This window comes from Homo sapiens, chromosome 4 (assembly GCF_000001405.40).
Source record: "Homo sapiens chromosome 4, GRCh38.p14 Primary Assembly".
NCBI lineage: Eukaryota > Metazoa > Chordata > Mammalia > Primates > Hominidae > Homo > Homo sapiens.
The window spans coordinates 9,132,462-9,152,745 of NC_000004.12; the positions used below are offsets into that span (position 1 = coordinate 9,132,462).

The 20,284-nt window shown below is 47.1% G+C and overlaps 2 long non-coding RNA genes and 1 pseudogene across 11 annotated transcripts in view, besides 2 other annotated features; 1 reads left to right on the forward strand and 2 right to left on the reverse strand.

The window, feature by feature from the left end:
- The window catches only part of ENPP7P10 (ectonucleotide pyrophosphatase/phosphodiesterase 7 pseudogene 10), a 62,651-nt pseudogene extending 53,504 nt beyond the window's left edge, over window positions 1-9,147 (forward strand).
- Window positions 1-20,053, reverse strand: part of LOC105369250 (uncharacterized) — a 117,941-nt gene extending 97,888 nt beyond the window's left edge. For 3 of the 10 annotated variants that reach the window (XR_001741579.3, XR_001741578.3, XR_001741584.3), the window contains exons 1-2: window positions 19,432-20,033; window positions 18,634-18,978 (exon numbers count right to left, since the gene is read on the reverse strand). This is a non-coding gene — a long non-coding RNA (uncharacterized LOC105369250). Of the gene's footprint in view, window positions 1-10,021; window positions 12,406-14,746; window positions 18,979-19,431 lie in introns of those variants that run through there. The other 7 variants (XR_001741581.3, XR_001741583.3, XR_001741580.3 and 4 more) reach the window with 7 other exon arrangements.
- Window positions 2,486-2,985: an enhancer, noted in NCBI's record as "H3K4me1 hESC enhancer chr4:9136673-9137172 (GRCh37/hg19 assembly coordinates)". NCBI's record gives its function as "activates a minimal SCP1, AML or CMV promoter by ChIP-STARR-seq in primed H9 embryonic stem cells {active_cell/tissue: H9 hESC(primed)}" and the evidence as "EXISTENCE:reporter gene assay evidence [ECO:0000049][PMID:30033119]".
- On the reverse strand, window positions 3,259-4,665 carry LOC124900663 (uncharacterized). Its single transcript, XR_007058023.1, has 2 exons — window positions 4,511-4,665; window positions 3,259-3,381 (listed from the first exon to the last, which is right to left on the reverse strand). It is a non-coding gene; the product is annotated as an uncharacterized LOC124900663 (long non-coding RNA).
- Window positions 20,111-20,220: a silencer, noted in NCBI's record as "silent region_15266". NCBI's record gives its function as "represses an Ori minimal core promoter by ATAC-STARR-seq in GM12878 lymphoblastoid cells {active_cell/tissue: GM12878}" and the evidence as "EXISTENCE:reporter gene assay evidence [ECO:0000049][PMID:35858748]".

Here is a 20,284-nt window from a genome sequence, read left to right on the forward strand (position 1 = left end):
GCTTCAAAGAGTCACTGGGAGGATTAACTGAGAAAATGCAGGGAAGGTGCTTGGAACTAAATGCTCCAAAAAAGTCCATCTGGCCAGGTACGGTGTCTCACGCCTGTAATCCCAGCACTTCGGGAGACCGAGGCAGGTGGATCACTTGAGGTCAGGAATTCAAGACCAGCCTGGTCAACATGGCAAAACCCTGACTCTACTAAAAACACAAAAATTAGCCAGGCATGGTGGCAGGCACCTGTAATCCCAACTACTTGGGAGGCTGAGGCAAGAGAATCTCTTGAACCTGGGGGGCAGAGTTTGCAGTGAGCCAAGATGGTGCCACTGCACTTCAGCATGGGCAACAAGAGCAAAACTCTGTCTCAAACAAAAAAAAAGTCCATCATTCTTATTAATGGAGGACAAATCATCTCAGTGCTTCTTTGGCTGATCAGTACACTCCAAGCCAGTGTTATCCAAAAGACCAGAGGTCCCCATCCCCCAGACAACAGACCAGTAGCGGTCTGTGGCCTGTTAGGAACTGGGCTGCACAGAAGGAGGTGAGCAGTGGGCTAGCGAGTGAAGCTTCATCTGTATTTACAGCTGCTCCCCATGGCTAGCGTTACCACCTGAGCTCTGTCTCCTGTCAGATCAGCAGTGGCATTAGATTCTCATAGGAGCACCAACCCTATTGTGAACTGCATGTGGAAGGGATCTAGGTTGTGTGCTCCTTATGAGAATCTAATGCCTGATGATCTGTCACTGTCTCCCACCACCCGGAGATGGGATTATCTAGTTGCAGGAAAACAAGCTCAGGGCTCCCACTGATTCTACATTATGGTGAGTTGTATAATGATTTCATTATATATTAAAATGTTCATAACAATAGAAATGAAGTACACAATAAATGTAATGCACTTGAATCATACTGAAACTTCCCCCCACAAATACATGGAAACTGGTCCTTGGTGCTAAAAAAATTGGGCACCACTACACTAGACTATTCAGTCACTGTCCAATCAAACATTCTGCAATGGCGGGCTTGCTCCACTCTGCACTGTCCAACATGGGAGCTGCTAGCCACCCACATGGGCTGTTGAGCCCTTGAAATGTGGCTGGTGAGAATGAAGAACTGAATTTTCAATTTTCTCTTAACTATTTTTTTTTTTTTTCAGACAGAGTCTCACTCTATCCTCCAGGCTGGAGTGCAGTGGTGCAATCTCGTCTCACTGCAACCTCCATCTCCTGGGTTCAAGCAATTCTCTTGCCTCAGCCTCCTGAGTAGCCAGGATTACAGGAACCCGCCATCATGCCCGGCTAATTTTTGTATTTTTGTAGAGACGAGATTTCACCACGTTGGCCAGGCTGATCTTGAACGCCTGACCTCAGGTGATCTGCCCATCTTGGCCTCCCAAAATGCTGGGATTACAGTTGTGAGCCACCATGCATGCCCTTAATTCATTTCTAAATCACGAAATCTAAACAAGTGGATAGGAACTACCATAGTGTACAAGGCAGCTGTAGAATCACAGGAAATTGTCAATGACCCTGTCCTGCTTCAAGTTGACTTTTCTCCCTCATGGTGAGACTCTAGATTCTTTCCTCTTCTCTCACATTTTTTAGACTTTCAGGCCGAGACCATGAAAATAAGTTATGTCCTTCCAAGAAAATAACGTTCATAACACTTACTGTATACCAGGCTGATTTCAGTGCTTTACCTCTATTAATTTACAACAACTCTGAGGCAGGAGCTGTAATTATGCCCATTTAACAGATGACAAAACTGAGGCACAAAGCGGTGCTGGAACTTCTCAAAGTCGCACAGGTAGCAGGAGGCAGAGTTCGGATTTGAACTCACTTCAGGTTCAGCAACTCACAGCTCTCACCTATGACATAATATTACTTCTGTGGTCAAAACACTTAGACCTGGATTTCACAGGAATCTTGTGCTTGCCTGGCTGCTAGGGAGGTTTTCATCATCTTCCTTATCTCACAGTTCAAAACCCAGGGCCTCCAAGCTCTTGCTACGGTGGCCGTTCACTGGCAGGAGGCTTCTGGGAAGGTTCTCCTTTTCTGTCATTTTTCTTATTCGTGTTTTTTTGTCTCATTGGTGTTTATCTGCAGAACTTTGTTTCCTTCTGCTCAATTCATAATCAGAGTGCTTTTCCTCCTGGCTGAATTCATAAGTGTTTATGCAAAAAGAGGTTGGCGCAGAGCCAGGCGACTGACGACACCCGGCTCATCTGCCAAGTGGATATCAAATTGTTGCATCTCGTTCTGCCATTCACAGCTCCTGCTGTGGGGCTGGGTCATCTGCCAGCTCTCCAAGGAGCTGGCGGGAAACCGCTGCAATCAGAGCCAACCCAGGGCCCGTGTGAGCCCGCCTTGGCACAGCACTCCAGCTGCCCCCAGTGCCTTTTGGGGACACATCTGCTTTGCCAGGCAGGGCTGTGGGAAGGCCGCCTGCCTCCTGTCCATCACAGGGAAAACCTACCCTTGTCCCGCGTCCCTTCCAGGAAGCCTGTGTGGAGATTGCTGCATTCACCTTTAATATGGCTAAAATGTTTTCCTTCAATGACAGTAATGCTGCCAGAACCCATCAAGACACCCAGGAACTGATGTGCCTTGGCAGATGATGCTGGAAAGATGGGATTCCCGGCAGCCTTTGCATCCCTTGCTCACAGCCCACGAGCATCTCCACTGTCCAGCAGGTCAGGGCACAGTCTCTCTCTCTCTCTCTCTCTCTCTCTCTCTCTCTCTCTCTCTCTCTCTCTCTCACGGTCTCTCTCTCTCACGATCTCTCTCTCTCATGGTCAGGGCAGAAAGAGAGAGAGTCCATCTGGAGCAGACTCGGATTTTAAATGAGTGTTCCCGATAATTTAACATGATCAATGGCTGAGGTATTTCACCAAGTTCAGGAGTCCCAGTTCTCAGAGAGAGACAGCCAGCCATGAGTGTAAGACCTGGTCAAACCGTACAAACCAGACAGCAGGTCTCGCACCTCCCCAGAGAGCTCCAGAGAATATCAAAGAGTGAAACAGCAGAGGGATGGTCTGGGTGGGGTCTTCGTGGCTGGTAAGGGTCTGTGACAGCACCTTGTTAGGCTACCCCCAAGAGGAAATTTGGAGAGAGGGTGGGAGGGCAGCTCTCAGTGCAAGCTAAGTCTCCTGGAAAGTAACTTCCAAACTTTGGAGGATTGTGAGCAAGATGGGACCAACTTCTACCTAAAAGCAACTTCTACCTAAAAGAATGTTAATAGAAAGATAACTCATCCTAATATTGGTCCAAGCTGGGTCTTTATTATGCATCATAAAGGCTCTGAGAATAACAATGTAACCTCCAAAAGGGCTGCGGGCTTTGAGGAATCTCAGGCAACTCGCTTCCTTCTGCTCAGTGACTCCCCTGGAGCACAGCAAAGCAAGGAAACACTTAGAGCCAAGCTTGAGTTCTGAATTTCAAATACAGGGCGTCCATCTCTTTCTACCCAATTGTTCCCTAGTTGAGTAACTAACTCCTTCCCCTTAACGGCACGTACTTCCTACCAAAGCAGAAGCGCGACGGGCTGTCCATGAGCCTCCCCAAAACATGTGCACCTTGTGACATAAATTCTGTCACCCAAAGAGACCAGACAAAATGCAAAACCAAAGTGGAGCCTTTCCTTGAATTATAGGTTCTAAAGAGTTTTGGACCCTCTACAAAACCCAAGAGTTAGGAATTGCCTGTAAGAAGCACCAGCTCTTGTTTTAAAGAGGCAATTTAAGAATAATAGCCATGCTGATGCCACACTACGCTAAGGGAGAATAATGAACCTAATAAAACTAGCGATTTTCCAATTGCTTTTGCTGCTGGAAACACTGATTATGCTAATTAAAGTGTAGAATAGTAAATACCCACTGTTTTGCATCCAATTAAGTGTTCAGATTATTTCTCAGAAGTATTTGTTAAAAATAGCACTTCGGATAATCATGGGTCCCAAATAAACAGAGTCAATTGTGGTGTGGTACATATGTGAGTGTGTGTGTGTGTGTGTGTGTGTGTGTGTGCGCACATGTCTTTCTGGAGCTCATTTTATGGAGATCCCGCATAGCTCCCCAAATTCCTGTGAGAACAAATAAAAAAAATCAGTTTTATAAGACTACAGCTTGGGATATCTTTGGAAAAGGAGTGTATTGAGAACACAGCATATGGAAATTATTTCGCGTTGGCAATATCTGTGATTTAACATTGCAACATTAGAAATCCAACTGGTTCTTCAAAGTCACCTAAGTCCCTCATAATGACAATATTAGCTTCTTCTAAATAATAAGTTAGCCAGTCAAACTATGTTCTACAGCATGTTAGAAGTTTCATCCTTCTAGTCAATGTCACATTTCAAGGCAAAGTCAATTTATATGTAAGTTAAACGAAGTGCTGTCACTAAAAATTGAGAATTATGTCTAATGCCAATCAGAAATGGAATAAATAAGTATTAGAGGATTTGCAAGTGAAAGCAACCACAGAAATTCTATCATCAGGAAGGAAAATGTATTACCTGCAGAGGTTACAGATAAGACGCTAGAACCCAGAAGAGAAAGAATCTCTGTAAATATTTCCATTAAGTTAATCAAGAGTGGCTGGGTACGGTGGCTCATGCCTGTAATCCCAGGACTTTGGGAGGCCAAAGAGGGCGGATCACGAGGTCAGGAGTTCGAGACCAGCCTGGCCAACATGGTGAAACACTGTCTCTATTAAAAATCCAAAAAATTAGCCAGGCGTGGTGGTATACACCTGTAATCCCAGCTACCCAGGAGGCTGAGGCAGGAGAATTGGTTTAATCCAGAAGGCAGAGGTTGCAGCTAGCTGAGATCACACCATTGCACTCCAGCCTGGGTGACAGATCATGGCTCCATTTTGAAAAAAAAAATAAAGAAAGAAAGAAAGTTAATCAGGGTGAGAATAGGATGAGTTTTTCGCCCACAAAAAGAGATGAGATTCATGCATTCTTTCAACATGCATTCCATCAATAGTGAGCACCTGCTCTGAGCTAGGCCCATTCTAGGTCTCAGAAAATGAGTAAGCAACCAGACATGGCCCCTGATTTGGAGCTCACATTTTAGAGCAGCTAAATGGACAGTAAACAAGTAAGTAAATTAAGATCGTTTTAAATTGGGGGATGTTCTTTAGAGAAGCACTTCCATAAAGCTGAATCGCATCATAGACTATGACTGCCAGGTGGTAGGGAAGGTAATATCTCACCTGCTTGTGGATAGCAGAGCTTCTGAGGCCTTGCAAATTATTTAGTACTAAGATTTCTGTCTTAGGTCAAGTTCCCTAAAAGCAGAGCCTGAGGCAGGGATTGAGTGCATGTAATTCATTCAGGAAGAACTCTCAGGAGATAGGAGTAAGGAAAACAGGATATGGCAGGGAACGAGCTAAGTGAGATGTGGTCTCAGCAGGAGACTGGCTCCAGTCTGATCTCACAGGGAGCTCCAGAGGATCAACTGCACCACCATGTTATCCCAACCTAAGGTCTTTTGTTCTCCTGTGTCAGCCGGTCCCTGGCCAAGGGCTGCAGACTCTCTGGGGGCCCCAGCAGACTGGAGGAGAAGGAGCATGCTCTGTGGTCTACTCTTTTGTGCACACCCACCCACCTCTTCCCCAGCTGACACTGCTGGAGGAGGAGAGGGAGAGATGTCATCTCCTCCTATGGCAACCTGTGGGATAGCAACGGCCCTTTTCCTGCTGGGTGTAATCTGCTGCCATCTCTTGCTGTCTGCAGCCTGACAGAGAAGGGTGAAGGTCACCAGGTTCCACTGATAGGGGTCTTTGTCTCAAGCGGCAACCCTAGGACCGAGGGTCCCTTGCAAGATTCAGTCACATTTCATGACTGTCTGCAACACACCCCATGCCTCTGATGGAAGGAACACAATGCCCCATGCTGCACTCATTTCTGCCAGACTACAGTCCCTGATCTCAATTTCCCTCTGCAGTCCCCAACTCTGGGGTCTGCAGACACATTTCAGATCCCTCCTTTGTACCTCCCAGGAGGCAGAAGCCAGAGGAAATAATACTTGTCCCAATGCACCTGACCACGCCACTTCACTGCACGCTCTTTCACCCTCTCCAGGAGAAATCAAGCTTGTTGAATACTTACCAATGTGTCCACATGCATTTAGTCCCCACAACCACTTCATGGGGCAGCATTGTCATCCCCAAGTTACACATGAGGAAACTGAGTAGAGCATTTATATAACATGCATCTAAGTGGTGGACAAAGGATCTAACCAGGCAGTGCGGCACCAGAGCACACATTTTTGTTGTTCAGAGAGATGGGGTCTCCCTCTGTCCCTCAAATTGGAGTACAGTGTCCTGATCATAGCTCAGTGCAGCCTTGAACTCCCGGGCTCCACCAGTCTTCCCGCCTCAGCCTCCCGAGTAGCTGGGACTAGACGCATTCACCACCAACCCAGCTAATTTTTAAAAAACATTTTTCTAGAGATAGGGTCTGATCCCAAACTCCTGACTTCAAGCGATCCTCCTGCCTCAGCCTCCCAAAGTGCTGGGATTACAGTTGTGAGCCCCCGCGCCCAGCCCAGAGCACACTTTTTTTATTTTTTTTGAGATGGAGTCTCACTCTGTCACCCAGGCTGAAGTGCAGTGGCAAAATCTCGGCCCAGAGCACACTTTTAACCACCATATCATTCTGTCTCTGGGTAGGTTAGTCAAGCTCTGTAGCTGATCAGATGTCTGTAGAGAGAAAGAGACATCAATCTCCCCTTCTTCCAAACACCCCCAAATTTTACAAGTGATTTTCTCAGATCCCTCAGCATCAGGAATGGGGATGTGCAGGGCAGCCTGTCCCCTCCGAACAGCCCAGCAGATATCCCAAGATTACATCTCATTGGCTCTGACTAGGACATGAGCCCAAAGCTGACCCAGTTGCTGTAGCCATGGCATGCAGCATCCTCGGTCCTCTGGCCAGGCCAGAGCTACATCCCATCTCTGGATCCTCGCGTTGAGTCAATAATCTTGAACCAGGCGCGGACTGAAGCTCAAGGAGGAGTCAGAGTAATGTGACCCAGCCGACCAGGAAGTGGGTGCTGAGCAGGCAAGCATTCATCACCCACTGCACACACCAGGGAAGGCTTGTGGTGGCTTAGTCCCACCTGGGGGCAAAGAAAAGAGTGCCTGCTCCATGCCACAATGTGATGCCCAACACCGTATCTTAAAGCTAGCTGGCTTTGTAATCCCAGCTACTTGGGAGGCTGAGGCAGGAGAACCACTTGAATCCAGGAGGCGGAGGTTGCAGTGAGCCAAGATCACGCCATTGCACTCCAGCCTGGGTGACAAGAGAGAAATTCTGTCTCCAAAAAATAAAAATAAAAAATAAAATTAAAAAGCTAGCCTGCTTAATCCTCACAAAGATGTCATCTACTTTTTGGGATTCTACAGGTAGAAACACTGAGACACTGAGACACTGGGAGATTTTAAAACTCACCACCAGCCGGGCATGGTGTCTCATGCCTGTAATCCCAGCACTTTGAGAGGCTGAGGCAGGAGAATTACTTGAACCCAGGACTTCAGGACCAGCCTGGGCAAATTAGTGAGACCTCATCTCTACAAATATTAAAAAAAAAAAATTAGGGCAAGGCGCCGTGGCTCACACAAGTAATCCCAGCACTTTAGGAGGCCAAGGCAAGTGGATCACTTCAGCCCAGGAATTCAAAACCAGCCTGGCCAACACGACAAAACTCTATCTCAACTAAAAATACAAAACTTAGCTGGGCATAGTCGCACATGTCTATAATCCCAGCTACTTAGGAGGCTGAGGTACAAGAATTGCTTGAACCCAGGAGTCAGAGGTTGCAGAGTGAGACTGTGTCTCAAAAAAAAAAAAAAAAAAAAAAAATAGGTGTGGTTGCACATGCCTGTTGCCCCAGCTGCTGAAGAGGCTGAGGTAGCAGGATCACTTAAGCCCAGAAGTTCAAGGGTGCAATGAGCTATGATTGTACCCCTGCACCACTATGTATACATATATATGTATATATGTATGTGTATATATACACATATATACATGTATGTGTATATATACACATATATACATGTATGTGTATATATGTATACATATGCACATATATATACATGTACATGTGTATGTGTGTGTATATATATATATGTGTATATATATAAAAAACACACATGCACAAATTCACCACCAACAACTCAGAAATTACCGTCTCCTTCTATTCTAAGGAACTGTTTTTCATTTTGCCATCTCTGAAGTTGGAACACACCTTACAATCACTGGAATGTCAAGGTCTCGTTGGCAGCATTTTTCTGCTTAGTAGCCCATAAAATAATAGCACATCTTGTAACTAACAGTGTTGTAGATGCTATTAGATCCTGGGGAAGCCCAGAATCTAACTCCACCCTGTCTGACTCCAAAGACCATATATTTCCTATGCCTTTGGACTGGGGCACAGATATAGACAACTCGAGCTTTGCTGATTGTGAGAAAGGTATGAGAAATGGCCCCGATGGAATTTTCTTCTTGTACTTGCAGGGGAACAAAGTGGCATCATTCCACTATTCCAAGGGAGGTGCTAAATAAGAGGGTGAGGCTGTCAAGCGGTCCCTGGTGGAGTCCTACACTCACCCAAACAGCAACGAGACAGAGCGGAGGGAGAACATCGATACCATCATGAACTGGTTCACCAAGGAAGACTTTGACTTTGTGACTCTGTGCTACAGAGAGCCAGATAACGTGGGACACCGATTCGGGCCAGAGGCAGAGAACAGGAAGTTGATGATTCAGCAAATCGGCAGGACCATCGGGTATCTGGAGGGAGCCACTGAGAAGCACAGCCTGCAGAGCACCTCAGCGTCATCATCACACGAGACCATGGGGTGACCACCGAGAAGAAGAGACCCAATGTCAACAAGATCCCCTTGTCCAACTACATCAAGTTCAGGGACTGGGTCAAGTTTGATATTGTGGGCTATGGTGGCTTTGGGATGCCCCTGCCCAAATCGGGGCAAGAAGAAGCCCTTTACCAGGCACTGAAGAATGCGTACCCTCACCTCCACATCTACAAGAAGGAGGAGTTTCCAGAACACTTCCATATCGCTAAACATGACCGGGTTCTGCCAATCGTGATGTATGCCAACTCTGGTTACACTATCAATGGGGTAAGTTCATTCTAAAATGAATAAAGTCACCTTGGATCTAGGAGACAACCATTAGGGAAGGGTGGTTCTGCAAAAATCAAACATAAGTGCACAGCCAGGCACGGTGGCTCATGCGCATAATCCCAGCACTTTGGGAGGCTGAGGCAGGTGTATCACCTGAGGTCAGGAGTTTGAGACCAGCCTGGCCAACATGGTGAAACCCCATCTCTACTAAAAATACAAAAATTAGCTGGGCGTGGTGGTGCACATCTGTAGTTCCAGCTACTCTGGAGGCCGAGGCAGGAGAATCGCTTGAAGTTGGGAGGCAGAGGTTGCAGTGAACCAAGATCATGCTACTGCACTCCAGTCTGGGAAACAGAGTGAGACCCTGTCTCAAAAAAATATAATATAATATAATATAATATAATATAATATAATATAATATAATATAATATATAATATAATATAATATAACAAAACAAAATAAAATAAAATAAGTGCACACACTACGAGTTGTAGCCCACAGGGTCCTAAATGTTTCCCACCCTCCGCCCAACCAATGCTGCTCCAAATTACTGTTATACGAGATTAAAGACCAATTCAACTTGATAAGGCTGATTAAAAATACAAATAAGGCTGGCCATGGTGGTTCACACTTGTAATCTCAGTGTTTTGGGAGGCCAAGATAGGAGGATTGCTTAAGGCCAGGAGTTCAAGACCAGCCCGGGCAACACAGGGAGACCCCATCTCTACAAAAAACAAACAAATAAATAACTAGCCAGACATGGCGATGCATGCCTGTAGTCCCAGCTACTCAGGAGGCTGAGGTGGCAGGATTTCTTGAGCCCAGGAAGTCAAGGCTGCACTAAGCTGTGGTTGCACTACTGCACTCCAGCTTGAGCAACAGAGCAAGACCCCGTCTCTAAAAAATAAATAAATAAATAATAAAAAATAAACACCAACTTCATTATTCAAATTTCTGCATAGCGCTTCACTAAACATTAAATAGCAGTTCTTTCATTTTTGTCTTCCCAAAAACCCTATAAAATAGATGCTCTTAGTTCCACCACTTTAAAGAAGAAATCAAAATCTAGAAAGAAGTGACTTGATATTAAAAATGTAAGGTTGGGCTGGGTGCAGTGGCTCACACCTGTAATCCCAGCACTTTAGAAGGCTAAGGTAGGTAGATTTCTTGAGCCCAGGGGTTTGAGACCAGCCTAGGCAACACAGTGAAGCACCATCTCTACAAAAAATACAAAAAAATGTGGCTAGGCTTAGTGGCACGTGCCTGTGGTCCCAGCAACTCAGGAGGCTGAAGTGGGAGAACTGCTTGAGCCCGGGAATATTGAGTCTGCAGTGAGCCATGATCACGCCACTGTGAGATAGGAGGCAGGACTTGACTCCACAGGCAGGGCTTGGACACCAGACCTAATTGACGACTAGCTAAAACAAGGCTGGGGCAGACGCAGCTTTCCATCAGACATGCCCACCAGTGTGCCATGTGAGTTTACTATTGCCAAGGCAACACCCGGGAGTTACTGCCCCTTTCCAGGGTAATGACCCAATGACTCAAAGGTTACTACCCATTTTCTAGAAATTCCTGCATAAACTGCCCTTTAATCTGCATGCAATTAAAAGTGGGTATAAATGTGATTGCAGACTCTCTGCCGCTACTCTCTGCCTCCAGGGTAACCCTGCCCTACAGGAGCAGTCACAGGGCTGTAATGCTGCCTCTTCAATAAAGCTGTTTTCTTCTAAACCTCCGGCTTGCCCTTGAATTCTTTCCTGGGTAAAGACAAGAACCCTCACGTGCTACTGAGAGGTGACAGCATGCTGGTGCCCTGGAGCTCACTCTCGGCACCTCCTCTGCCTGGGCTCCCACTTTGGCGGCACTTGAGGAGCCCTTCAGCCCGCCGCTGAACTGTGGGAGCCCCTTCCTGAGCTGGCCGAGGCTGGAGCCAGCTCCCTCAGCTTGCGGCGAGGTATAGAGGGAGAGGCGCGGGCAGGAACTGGGGCTGGGCGTGGCGCTTGCGGGCCAGCGCTAGTTCCGGGTGGGCATGGGCTCACTGGGCCCCGCACTCAGAGTAGCCCGCTGGCCCCGCTGGACCCAGGCAGTGAGGGGCTTAGCACCTGGCCCAGCAGCTGCTTTGCTCAATTTCTTGCAGGGCCTTAGCTGCTTCCCTGCAGGGCAGGGCTCGGGACAAGCAGCCCGCCATGCCTGAGCCTCCCCCCAACTCTCCATGGGCTCCTGCGTGGCCTGAGCCTCCCTGATGAGTGCCGAGCCTCCCCAATGAGCACCGCCGCCTGCTGCAGGGCGCCCAGTCCCATCGACCACCCAAGGGCTGAGGAGTGCCAGCACAGGACACAGGACTGGCAGGCAGCTCCACCTGCGGCCCCCGTGTGGGATCTACTTGGTGAAGCCAGCTGGGCTCCTGAGTCTGGTGGGAACTTTGAGAACCTTTATGTCAAGCTAAGGGATTGTAAATACACCAATCGGCACTCTGTATCTAGCTCAAGGTTTGTAAACACACCAATCAGCACCCTGTGTCCAGCTCAGGGTTTGTCAATGCACCAATCGACACTCTGTGTCTAGCTAATGTAGTAGGGGCTTGGAGAACTTTTGTATCTAGCTCAGGTATTGTAAACGCACCAATCAGCACCCTGTCAAAACAGACCAATCAGCTCTCTGTAAAACAGACCAATCGGCTCTCTGTAAAATGGACCAATCAGCAGGATGTGGGTGGGGCCAGATAAGGGAATAAAAGTAGGCTGCCCCAGCCAGCAGTGGCAACCCTCTGGGGTCCCTTTCCACACTGGGGAAGCTTTGTTCTTTTGCTCTTTGCAATAAATGTTGCTGCTGCTCACTCTTTGGGTCCACATTGCCTTTATGAGCTGTAACACTCACCTCGAAGGTCTGCAGCTTCACTCCTGAAGCCAGCGAGACTATGAACCCACCGGGAGGAACAAACAACTCCAGACGCACCGCCTTAAGAGCTGTAACACTCACCTTGAAGGTCTGCAGCTTCACTCCTGAAGCCAGTGAGACCACAAACCCACCAGAAAGAAGAAACTCTGAACACATCAGAGCATCAGAAGGAACAAACTCCAGACAAGCCACCTTTAAGAACTGTGACACTCATCCCGAGGGTCCGCAGCTTCATTCTTGAAGTCAGTGAGACCAAGAACCCACCAGTTCCGGACACACTATGCTCCATTTCAGGGCTCCCCTGCTCTGCGTCAACTGCACTCTGGCCTGAGTGGCAGAGAGAGAGACCCTATCTTAAAAAAAAGAAAGAAATGTAAGGTTAAGTGCTGCCCCCAAGCCTGAGTGGCCAATCATTATACAGAGTACACAAAGATCACCAAAAAAGTCACCACAGAAGCCCCCCGCCGCTGGTTCTCATTTGCCCATATCAAAAAATATGCAAGCCTGTTCATACAAAGACACACACAGATGCTCATAGCAAAATTATTCATAATTGTCAAAAGGTGGCAACAACACAAATGCCTATCAACAACAGAAGAATGGGCAAACAAGTACAGTCTACCCATGTGATGGAACATTAATCAGCCAAAATATGGAATGAACGGCTGATTCATGCTACAACCTGGATACACCTTGAAACCATTAGGCTAAGTGAGAGAAGCCAGACAAATATTAGATGATTCTACATATATATATATATGCCCAGAATATGAAAATCCAAAGAAACAGAAAGTAGATTAATGGTTGCCAGGGGCCAGGTGTGGGGATAGTTGGAGGGAAATAAGGGGTGACTGCTAATGGATACAGGGTTTCTTCTGGGGTAATTAAAATTTCTAAAATTGATGGTGATGATGGCTGCACAACTCTGTGAATATATTAAAAAACACTGAATTATACACTTTATGTATTTAATTAGAGACAGGGTCTGGCTCTGTTGCCCAGGCTGGAGTGTAGTGGTGCAATCTCAACTCACTGCACCCTCCACCTCCCGGACTCAAACCATCCTCCCACTTCAGCCTCCTGACTAGCTAGGACTACAGACACACACCACCATGCCCAGCTAATTTTTTTGTATTTTTGGTCGAGACAGGGTTTTGCCATGTTGCTCGGGCTCGTCTCAAACTCTTGGGTTCAAGCGATGCTCCCACCTCAGCCTCCCAAAGTGCTGAGATTACAAGTGTGAGCCACCATGCCCGGCCAAATGATACACTTTAAATGGGTAAATTGTATGGTATGTGAATTATCTTTCAATAAAGCTATTATTAAAAAGCAGCTTTAAGGGCCAGACATAAGGGCCATGCCTGTAATCCCAGCATTTTGAGAAGCCAAGACAGGAGGATCACTTGAGCCCAGGAGTTCAAGCCCAGCCTAGACAACATGGGAAAACCTGGTCTCTACAAAAAATTTAAAAATTAGGCTTGGCGTGGTGGCTCACGCTTGTAATCCCAGCACTTTGGGAGGCTGAGGTAGGTGGATTACTTGAGTTCAGGAGTTCAAAACCAGGCTGGCCAACATGGTGAAACCCTGTCGCTAATAAAAATATTTTTTAAAAATTAGCCAGGCGTGATTGTGTGTGCCGAGGCTGAGGCAGAAGAATCGCTTGAACCCGAGAGGTGGAGGTTGCAGTGAACCGAGATTATGCCACTGCACTCCAACCTGCTGGGCAACAGAGCGAAACTCCATTTCAAAAAAAAAAAAAAAAAACTAAAAATTAAAAATTAGCCAGCGGTGGTGGTTAGTGTTTGTAGTCCCAGCTACTCTGGAGGCTAAAGTGGGAGGATTGCTTGAGCCCAGGAGGTTGAGGCTGCAGTGAGCCAAGATTGTGTCACTACACTCTGGCCTCAGCAACAGAACAAGACCCTGTTTCACAATTTTAAAAACAATTAGAAAACAAGCCTAAAGAAAACACAAAAACCAAAGCTAACTGTGAAACGTAAATGAGGTGGTCTATTTTTTGTTAACTACGAACTAACAATTCATGGCAGAAACAAAGTTTAAGTGATGCTATAGCCGGGCCCTGTGGCTCATGCCAGTAATCCCAACACTTTGGGAGGCTGAGGCGGGTGGATCACCTGAAGTCAGGAGTTTGAGACCAGCCCGGTCAACATGGTGAAACCCCGTCTCTAATAAAAATACAAAAATTAGCCGGGAGTGGTGGCGGGTGCCTATAATCCCAGCTACTCGGGAGGCTGAGACAGGAGAATCGCTTGAACCCCGGGGGCAGAGGTTGCAGTGAGCCAAGATCGCACCATTGCACTCCAGCCTGGGCGACAGAGCAAAACTCCGTCTCAAAAAATAAATAAATAATTAAATAAATGATGCTATAAACCTCATGTGAGGGAAGACTGCCCCAGGTACAGCTTGAAGAACCCTTGCTGTGAATAGGAGCCAAATGCGATAATTCTGTTTGCAACTTCCTTCATGTTAGCTTGTTGCAACTCCGGAGTGTAATAGGTATGAGAAAACTCATGGGGTTACTGTTTAATGCTGGCGGAAATATTCACATTAAAATACAACAGTTTATCACCTAAGTTATATTTTATCCCTGAAGTGGCCCGGAACACTGATTGCTATACACCAATCGCACGCCCATAGCTAAGGCCTTGCCAAGGAGATATTCCACAGTCACCTGGCCTATTTGTAAACGTGGTTTATGACGTTTTGTAACAGAATATCTTGACAGTAGCATGAGAACATTTAACGAGACAAGAACATTCCCCACTGACCAACCAGATGGTTTCAGGGAACAGGATGCTGTGCTCAGTTTAATCTTCTGCTGAACCATTAGGCAGAAAATCCTCTGGGTCAATGCCTCTCACTGAATCCACTTCTCATCCTGTCCACCTGCCTGCTTTGCAGTGCAGAGTAAAGTGGGCCTTCTTTGACCCTCTTCAGGGACCAATGTGCTTGAGGCCATCATGAGGACATTCATTCTTTCTTTTTTTTTTTTTTTTTTTTTTTGGAGAGAGTCTCGCTCTGTCGCTCAGGCTGGAATGCAGTGGTGTGATCTCAGCTCCCCACTGTAACCTCTGCTTCCCAAGTTCAAGTGACTCTCTTGCCTCAGCCTCCTGAGTAGCTGGGATTACAGGCACGCATCACCAGGCCCAGCTAATTTTTCTATTTTTTGTAGAGACAGGGTTTCACCATGTTGACCATGCTGGTGTCGAACTCCTGACTTCAAGTGATCCACCTGCCTCGGCCTCCCAAAGTGCTGGTATTACAGGTGTGAGCCAACATGCCTGGCAGAGGGCTTTCATTCTTCATGGACTGCTCCATAGCCTCAGAGACAGTCGGACTGGTTTCTTCAACCAGAGCGGAGCAGACAGGCAATTTCTGTATCCACCAGGACAAATATTAGCCCAACTCTTCAATGTACAGAGAGCATCACATTTCTTATATACTAGAATATCTGTTGGTCTAAAATATAAATAAATAGTATTGTAGCCAGCCACAGTGGCTCACACCTATAATTGCAGAGATTTGTGGGGCTGAGGCAGGAGGTTCACTTGAGGTCAAGTGTTCGAGACCACCCTGGGCAACATAGCGAGACAACCCCCCCCCCCCACCGCCACCTGCCATCTCTACAAAAATTAAAATAATTAGCTGGGCATAGTAGTGTGGGCCTGTAGTCCCAACTACTTGGGAAACTGATGTGGGTGGATTGCTTGAGCCCAGGAATCTGAGGCTGCAGTGGGCTATGACTGCATCACTGTACTCCAGCTAGACCTTGTCTCAAAAAAAAAAAAAAAAAAGTGTGCAATTGACATTACTTTATCATTTGAAAAGAGGGACAGACAAGAAAGGTATTTGGCATTTACCAAGCAATTACTCATAATCCTCATCCCATCCTACCCCCACCCTTCCCCTAAAAATGTATGTATATGTTTGTATACCATAAAACATACATCTATTTGGCTCTGGAACCAGATTGCTTGGGTTCAATTACCTGATCTAGCATTTGCTCCTGATGACTCAGTGCAGAAAAGCTCTGTAACTCAGTTTCCCCAGCTGTAAAATGGGGAATGGCGCCTTTACTGGGCTGCCATGAGGGTAAAGGGGGTAACATATATTTATAAAGCATTCAGAACAATTCATGATACACAGTAAGCTCTATATATTTGAGCTTATTATTACTGTCAGTACGATTATCATCATTTTGCTGTTTCCAATGGGTACATTTTCTACATTCTCTTTCTTAAAGACCTTTAAGTCCTTGGTATTCTCTCCACCACCACAGAGGGCAGTGTCCTTGTAGTTTAAATTTTCAAAGACTTCATGGATCCAATAAGCACGACATTAACTAAGGGACAGTTTTCTTTCAGTGGATTGGAATCTAAAATGGCTTTTTTATTGTTATTATTGGCCAGGCTGGTCTCGAACTCCTGACTTCAAGTGATTCCCCCCACCTCACCCTCCCAAAGTGTGCTGAGACTCCAGGCATGAGCCACCATGCACGGCCTTCATTCTCTTCTTTTATAAGGACACCAGTCATTGCATCTGCCCCCTCACCAGCAGCCCCCAATCCAGGATGACTCATCGTTACTTGATTACATCTAGAAAGACCCTATTTCCAAATAAGGTCACATTCCTGGGTACCGAGGATTAAGATTTCCAATTTTTTCCCTGACTCATTTTTTTTTTTTTTTTTTTGAGTCAGCGCCTCACCCTGTCATCCAGGCTGGAGTACAGTTATGTGATTATAGCTCACTGCAGCCTCAAACTCCTGGGCTCAAGGGATCCCCTGACCTCAGCCTTCCAAGTGGCTGAGACTACAGGTGCACACCATCATGCCCAACTAATTTTTTTTGTTTTTTTGTGTGTTTTTTTTTTGTACAGGTTAGGTCTCACTCTGTTGACCAGGCTGGTCTGACCTCAAGAGATTCTCTTGCCTTGGCCTCCCAAGGCACTGGGATTACAGGCGTTATCCCATGCTTGGCCCTCTTTCTACACCTCAATCATTGCATCATTAGCCTGAGCTGCGCATATTCCTTATTCTGCCCATCCCTGACCAACCTCCTCCTTTAACATAACTTCCATCTCGATATCATGGGGCCTGCTGGGCACTGCAAACAGCCTAAGGAAAGTGGAAACTTTACTTAACCTTAAATTGTATTACAAAGCCCACATTGAACGTAATTTATATTTAAACTATAAAAATTTTCTGTAAATTAAAACATGACCTATAAAGGTCTCTACACCCTGAAGCAACGTTTTAGAAAGAAATCAATTGGTCCTTTTCTGCAGAAACCATTAACCATAGGAGAGATAAAGGAAAAACTTCAATGTACTGATTGAACTTCCATGCCCATAAGTTAACTTCTAAAAGGCAACCATTCCATATTGTTAAACTGCCTTAGGTTGTTATTACTGTTATGAAAGAGATCTTCAAACCAGAAGTTGAATCTTGACTGTAGTTCTTGCACGTACACGCACACTCTTGCAACTGAAGCCACTCAGATTGTCCTAATGCTGCTCCCCATAGCAACACCACCTGGAATTTTACGTTTGGTTTTAAGCATCAGTCATAATCTTCACTTGCACCCGAACACACCGCACCTGTGAGAGCCACGTGATATTAAAAAAATCCCTTTAGTGAGGCTGGGCGTGGTGGCTCACGCCTGTAATCCTAGCGCTTTGGGAGGCCAAGGTAGGTGGATCATGATGTCAAGAGATTGAGACCATCCTGGCCAACATGGTAACACCCTGTCTCTACTAAAAATACAAAAATTAGCTGGGCGTGGTGATGTGTGCCTGTAGTCCCAGCTACTCGAGATGCTGAGGCAGGAGAATCGCTGGAGCCCGGGAGGCAGAGGTTGCCGTGAGCCGAGGTCGTGCCGCTGCACTCCAGCCTGGCAACAGAGGGAGACTCTCTGAAACAAAAAAAATCCCTTCAGTGCCTTGATCCTTCCAGATTCAGATCCAAGAGAGATGACATTTGTCCATCACCAGACACTGCGCACCAAGATAAAGATTTCTTCTGGCCAGGCGCGGTGGGTCATGCCTGTAATCCCAGCACTTTGGGAGGCAGAGGCGGGTGGATAACCTGAAGTCAGGAATTTGAGACCAGCCTGGCCAAGGTGTTCAAACCCTGTCTCTACCAAAAATACAAAAGTGGCCCGGCAGGGTGGCTCACGCCTGTAATCCCAGCTACTCGGGAGGCTGAGGCAGGAGAATCGCTTGAACCTGGGAGGTGGAGGTTGCAGTGAGCCGAGATCGCACCATTGCACTCCAGCCTGGGCAACTAGAGAGCAAAACTCCGTCTCCAGAAAAAAAGAAAAAAAGATTTCTTCTGTGTGCATGGCTCAGCTCTATGGTCTGCTAGCGTCCTTCCTCAATCTGCTTCCAATCTGTGGACTCAAGAAAGACTGAACCAACCTAGATTAATATTTTAGTGTAACATAATACAGTGTTACTTACTATGACATTGACCGTATATGCCCTTTTGCTCCTTGGAGGAAAGACAATTAATAGCTATTATGTGAGTTAATAAAATAAGCCCAGGATTTATGAGTATAACTAACCTGTTCCCATTGGTTTTCCTCGTCTCCTGCAGGCAGAGAGCTGATCAAAACAGCAAAAGCAAAGCAGTGCCCCTGGCCCAGTTCTGAAGCCAATCTTCCTTAATCACCCAGACCCATCCCTGGTTAGGACTTGCTGTGGATTCTCAGGTGACTCCATCTCAGGATACAGGGACTGAGAGGGTGTATGCAACATCTCAGAGCCAGAAACCATTGATTTTGTCTAAAAACACAGTAATAACCACATCCCATCCTCTTGATTTAAATGAAAGTGTTTGGAAGAATAAAAGATGAACCTTTTTTTTTTGTCAGATCTTGCGCTCATTTGGTTCTGGTGTGGAACAACAGCTATAAGAGAACAAGTGTATTCAATTAGAATTAATTCCCCTCTCTTATTCTCATAGCTGAGCAGGGCTTAAGTGCCTCTCATCTGAAAGAGGTAATAAGATTTTATCTGTCTCCTCATCTACCTTTTGCAAGTATACTTAACAAATTCGCTCTCGGGACTCTTCCAAATGGAGTTTTATGAGGAATTTGCTAAGGTAAACGTTTTAGACTTTGAACACAGTTCAGATTTCAGGGGCAGTACTGAAATCTAAACTGTGTTGCTAACTGCCCTGCCTTTCAACTCAAGACACAATAACTTTGAACTAAAATAATTATATTTTTGTTGTTTTCCACTCTGTCCCCACGTCTATATCACTACCACCCCCAATCCCACCCCGCAGGAGCTAACTCCTCCTTCCTGTCCCTGCAAGATCAAAACTCCTCCTGCAAGCCCCGCTAGCTCTGTCTGCTCACCTTCGTGGTAGATATCGCTATCGTACTTTTATCCTCCTTTGTGTGATAAGTACTTCAATATCCACTTCTTCCACGAGCCCCTGAGTCCCTGAAGGGCCTGGACCACACCTAGTTTTTCTCACCGTTACATATCCCTTGTCAGGCACATGGTAGGCGCTTAAAAAGTATTTGGTGAACGAATGGCTTGTTTGGTGACAGTCCAAAGGCTGGGGGACAGAGGGAAAGCTCCCTCCTTTCGGGCCCCAGACGGGTGGCGCTGATGGAGAGGAGGCTAGCCTAAGTCCTCCAGGACCGAAGCATGCACCCGTAAGGCCCCTGCTAAAAAGACCTTCCTGAAGGCGGAGGAACTGCGAGAGTGCCTACGTTAGCCCAAGGCCTGACCCGACGATCCCAGGGACCCTCGACCTAACTGGCCCCGCCTCCCGGGCCCCAAACCCGGACTCGGCCCCCCCGAAGCTCCGGATCCTGGGGCCCGCCCCTGGCCCCGCGTCGGAAGACCATGGGCTCGCTCCTGGGCCTTCCTCAAACCCTCCGCAGGTAACGCCTCCCGAACTGGAGCCACATTCCGATCCCCTCCTCAAATCCCTCCCCGTTTCCCACACCCTGGACCCCTCGCTCCGTCTCGGCCCCGCCCCAAGCCCAGCTAGGTCTCGGCCCCCGAGCCCAGCCCCGACCGGCCTCCCAGTCCCTGGGTCCCTCCCGACACCGGCCCCTCCCTAAGCTCCGCCTCCCAGGGCCCACCTCCTGAGCGCAGCCCAGCCCGGACTCGGCCCCGCCTCCCGGACCCTGGGCCCCTCCCCACGTGGGCCCGTCCTAAGCTTCGCCTCCCAGAGTCCGCGCACCGCCTGGCCGT